This window comes from Homo sapiens, chromosome 5 (genome assembly GCF_000001405.40).
Source record: "Homo sapiens chromosome 5, GRCh38.p14 Primary Assembly".
Classification (NCBI taxonomy): Eukaryota; Metazoa; Chordata; class Mammalia; order Primates; family Hominidae; genus Homo; species Homo sapiens.
Window position 1 is genome coordinate 68,871,364 of NC_000005.10, and position 5,433 is coordinate 68,876,796.

A 5,433-nucleotide genomic window follows, 5' to 3' on the forward strand; every position below is an offset into this window, starting at 1 on the left:
TGGCACATGTATACCCATGTAACAAGCCTGCACGTTCTGCACATGTATCCAAGAACTTAAAGTATAATAATAATAAAAAGATAAGCAAAAGAAGCCAGATACAAAAGATATAATATCATGTGATTCCATTTATACGAAGATTCAACTTATATGAATTTATATGAAGTGTATTAGTTATAGACAAAACTAGTCTGTCGCTGTAGAAGTCAAAGTAGTGATTATCTCTGCTGCAGAAATGTAAAAGGGCAAGAAAGAGCCTTCTGAGATATGGGAAATTGTCTAATCACCTGATTTGAGTGATGATTCAACAGTGTGCACGTGTTTGTTGCTGTGAGTGTGTGTAAATTCATTGAATTGTACAGTTAAGATCAATGCACTTTACACCATATATATGTATACTTATATGTATATTTAAAGAGAGAGAGAATAATTTCTGCATGCCTGACATTTAGCTGGGCCTTTGAGATATGTTGATTAACAAAGCACACAGTTTTATTCCCCTTGGTATAGTGTATTCCTGGTACCAGTTCAGTCTCTATACTCAGTAAATGGTTGGTAATCTGAACTGAGCTTTCTTCTTTTATACTAAGCATTTAAACTTTAAAAAATATATACTATTGCTGATGCTAATGGCAACAGCAGTGCTTCACTTTTCCTTGACAAACATGTTTTGTTTTTAGGCTTTTTTAATCCAAGGTCATCCTGATGCCTCATTATGGAAAAATCCCAGAATCTTTCCTCCCTTCAGCAAAGGAGCTACATGCACTTTCATCCTGCAGATTTCAAAACTGATTATCTGTGCTGCTAGCATTCTCCATATCCCATGGAGTTGTGTGCTAAAATCCAGAGCAATGAATACACCTCTGAAAAATGATGCTTTCGAACCTGCCTCGTGGTGCAGTAAATTTAAAAGTACTCTTAATAATAATAAGGATCAACATTGACTTTAATAGTCCTCAAGCCCATCACGTAATTTCATTAGCCACCCAGCACAGATGCAAGCAGGGGTGATGTCATACTTTTTCCCCTTGCTCTGAAACCTGAGTCAGGCGCCAGAGATGGAAACCAGTTTTACAGACTCTAATCGGATTAAAGCTCCTGGCAGCCTCTAATCAATAGGTGGTAGCTGGAGGAATCTCAAAATGTTCAAAGCCCTCTCTGGCCCCTTCATGGGCATGGCCTCACTCAAGTAGAAAGGAAGTTCAGGTGGTCTCTTTCTACAAGTGGGGAAAATCTAAATGGTATGTCCTAGGGCACTGTGTTAGTTGCAGTTTTCCCCAGGACTCAGGTCCATACATGAGAGAGGGATTGTCACTAATGCAGCAGCCTCAAGTTTTCCTTTCTGATCTTACCTAAAGGAAACCTCTAACTATTCACACAACCATCATACAGTAAACTAGCAGTTATGATCACAGGCTTTGGTGTCAGGCACAGCTTGATCTAAAACCTAGCTCTTCCGCTGACTAAACAACCTCTAGCAAGCTAGCCTACCTGTGTTAGACTCAATTTTCTCATCTATAAAGTGGGGATAATAACACCTACCTCACAGAAGTGTAGTGAGGAAAAAGAGAGTTAATGTGTACACAAAGGGCTTATGACATAGTCCTTGCCCTGTGTAGTTACATGCTCAACAAATGATTGCTAATAAAAAGAAATAAGCTATGATTAATAGCTACCAGTTATCATTATGATTCTTAAAACTCTGAAATTCCCTCTTACAATCAGAGAGAATTCTTTTTTGCCTTTATCATTTTACTTACCTGAACTTTCCCACCTCTCCAACTTAGGGCAAGTGGGAAGCCAGTGCCTAGACGTGCTCATAATTTCCAGGTTGCTTTAACAAGAACTTCAATAACACGGCAAAATACAATGACCTCATCATCCCAATGTTGCAGAAGTAAAAATCAATGCTACTTAAAAAGCCTGACAATCAATCAAAGTCTAGCCAGATATCCGTGGAAGTCAAACAGACCATATAAAACTCAGATTCACCTAGGGATCTCATTAAAGTACTGCAGCAGTAGTTCCCTGATGTAAGCTGGGAGTTTTCACTTGGCTTTTTTTTTTCAAATATGGAGTCCTGGTGAGGTCAGGGCTATATGTCTCCCCAGCAGCTGGCTCAGGAGCACTTTTATTGGCTGGATGCCCTCACTGGAATTACCAGTGCAAACGGTCATTCATACGTCAATGTCATCCCACCCTCCCATGGTGACACAGACCTTCTCCTACTGAAACCACATGCTGCTTTAGTCCAAAATAAGCTCTGAAAAAGTAATAAACATTATTTTATTTCATTTTATTTCATTTTATTTTATTTTATTTTATTTTATTTTATTTTATTTTATTTTTATTTTGAGACAGAGTCTCGCTCTGTTGCCAGGCTGGAGTGCAGTGGCATGATCTCAGCTCACTGCAACCTCCACCTCCTGGGTTCAAGTGATTCTCCTGCCTCAGCCTCCCGAGTAGCTGGGATTACAGGTACACGCCACCACACTCAGCTAATTTTTGTATTTTTAGTAGACATGGGATTTCATCATGTTGGCCAGGATGGTCTCGATCTCTTGACCTCGTGATCCGCCCACCTCAGCCTCCCAAAGTGCTGGGATAACCCTTACCTGTTTCTCCTTTGCAGGGCAGATAGAACATGATAATTGGAGATGCATGAAACGTGATTAATCTCTCTGTATAATCAGGACTTGCAACACACTTAATTTTTTTTTTAATAGTGAAAATTTTATTGGAGATCATTGAAGTGAAGACTGATAAACACTTGCCCTGGGTGGGTTACAACCAACTTTTCTTTTTTTTTCTAAGTTTTTTAAATTATATTTTAAGTTCTTGGATACATGTGTAAAACGTGCAGGTTTGTTACATAGGTATACATGTGCCATGGTGGTTTCCTGCACCCATCACCCCGTCATCTACATTAGGTATTTCTCCTAATGCTATCCCTCCCCTAGCACCCCAACTCCCCAACAGGCCCCAGTGTGTGATGTTCCCCTCCCAGCGTCCATGCAACACACTTAATTTCTATTGCATAGTACTATAGGGGTTACAGAAAGCATAATTTTAAGATAATGGATTTATATTCTATGGGCTTCTTTCTAAAACCTTATAATTCAAATATGAATATAAGACAAATCCCCTCCCTGAGCTCAGGTCATTTTAAGAGATAACACCTACTATGGACCACATGTTCTTCGAGGCACAAGAGATACAAAGATGGATAATGCATGAGCCTGCCCTTCTTCAGATTCTATGAAACCAGAAGGCACAGATCCCCCTAACTCCAGACCCAGTCCCCCAAAAAACACCAACAGGATTAAATACACACCATTGAGTTAATGGGACACACCATTGAATTAAAACTTTTTTTTACTCTAGCAGTAAAGAAAATGACTAAACTCTGGATTATCTACTCCAGAACAATCAACTTAGAGTAGAAACTTAAGCTACTATGAAAAAAATGATTGAACCGGAATAAGAAGGCCTGATGTTCCCAACAGCATTGGCAACCGATTCATTTAGAAACTCAGTAAAAGTCAACTCAGAAGCCCACTTCTTAGCCAACTTCATGTCCCATGCATACATGGAGGGTAAGGGAATGAGTTTATACATTTCAAATTATGTCTTCTGACTGGGCACAATGGCTCACGCCTGTAATCCCAGCACTTTGGGAGGCTGAGGCAGGTGGATCACTTGAGGTCAGAAGTTTAAGAGCTGCCTGGCCAACATGGTGAAACCCAGTCTCTATTAAAAATACAAAAATTAGCCAGGCATGGTGGTGGGTGCCTGTGGTCCCAGCTACTTGGGAGGCTGAGGCAGGAGAATCGCTAGAACCCAGGAGGCGGAGATTGCAGTGAGCCAGGATCATGCCACTGCACTACAATCTGGGTGACAGAGTGAGACTCTATCTGAAAAAAACCAATTATGTCTTCTTAAATCCCTCAGGAACACACTCTCATTTCTTTAATTCACCTCCCTATTTGTAAGTATAATATTAATACCTCCCTCCTGGGGTTGTTGTGAGGGTTAAATGAAGCAATATTTTTTTTAGTCTAAAAAAGCACCTGGCTTATACTAGGGACTCACTGAATGATAGCTAATAGAAAATTCAGTACCAGGATCCTCAAAAACAATGTGACCACAGACACCACGCCCCCTGGCTAGCTTCTGGTTTTTCTTACTTTGAAGCAGGAGAAGCAGACTTCTTTCTGGTCGTACCAGCCTAGAAAGATCTAAGCTGAGCTACTAGTACAAGAAGATCACGGGGCAATGATTCAATCTTGACAAAAGATCTAGAAACATAGCTAACAGAAAACACAAAGATGACAGGAATATCAATAATCTCAACAACTGTAAACAGGTTACATTCCCTTATTAAAAGAGCTTTCAAATTCATTTTTTAAGGCAAGGTCCATCTATATGCTATTTACAAGAGATGTGTGTAACACAAAATAATGCAGAAAGGTTGAAAACATGCAGATGCCCAAAGAGAGACCAAGTGCTATAGTCTGAATATTTGTGTCCCCCCAAAATTCATATGTTAAAATCATAACCCCCAAGATGATGGCATTAGGAGGTGAGGGCCTTTCAGAGTTGATTAGAGCATGAGAGTGAAACCCTCATGAATGGGGTTAGGGCTCTTATAAAAGCAAGCCAAAAGAGACCCCTTTCCACCTCTACCATGTGAGGACACAGTGAGAAAGCATTGTCTATGAACCGAGAAGCAGACCATCTACAGACACTGAATCTGCCAGCACCTTGATCTTGGAATTTCCAGACTCCAGATATGTGAGAAATAAATTTCTGCTGTGCATAAGCCACCTAGTTTATGGCATTTTGTTGTAGCAGCCTGAAGGGACTAAGACAGCAGGGAAATATAAACAAAAAGAAAACAATATAGCAATATTAATATTACCTCAAATCGAATTCAAGGCAAAAAGCTCTATATGGGACAAAGAAAATTGTTTTATATTAATAAACAATAGATTCATCAGAATATATAGCAACCATGAACATTTTCACCCTGAATATCATGGCAGCAGATACATGGAGAGTAATGACAACACGTCAAGCACAATTCCAAGGTCATTGCATATAGCAACTCATAATCCTCCCAAGAACCCAGTAAACTAGATGATGTGATTTTACAGTTAAGGAAATGTGTCCAAGGTCTGTCAACTCATGAGGGTGGAGCGGGTATTCAAACCAGGCAGCCTGGCGTTAGCATCAATACTCTCAATTTTTTTACTATATTCTCTCCAAAAAGTAAAAAGAAGTGTTAGAAATTTTTTTTAAAGTTGGCCAGGTGTGGTGGCTCACACCTATAATCCCAGCACTTTGGGAGGCCAAGGCAGGAGGATCGCTGGAGCCCAGGAGTTCAAGACCAGCCTGGGCAACACAGCGAGACCCTGTCTCTTTTAAAAGGAA

At 40.1% G+C, this 5,433-nt stretch overlaps 1 non-coding gene across 1 annotated transcript; it reads left to right on the top strand.

The window, feature by feature from the left end:
• Positions 1–2,590: 2,590 nt before the first annotated feature.
• LOC124900198 (U8 small nucleolar RNA) lies at positions 2,591–2,724 on the top strand. Its single transcript, XR_007059147.1, has one exon. It is a non-coding gene; the product is annotated as a U8 small nucleolar RNA (small nucleolar RNA).
• Positions 2,725–5,433: the final 2,709 nt, after the last annotated feature.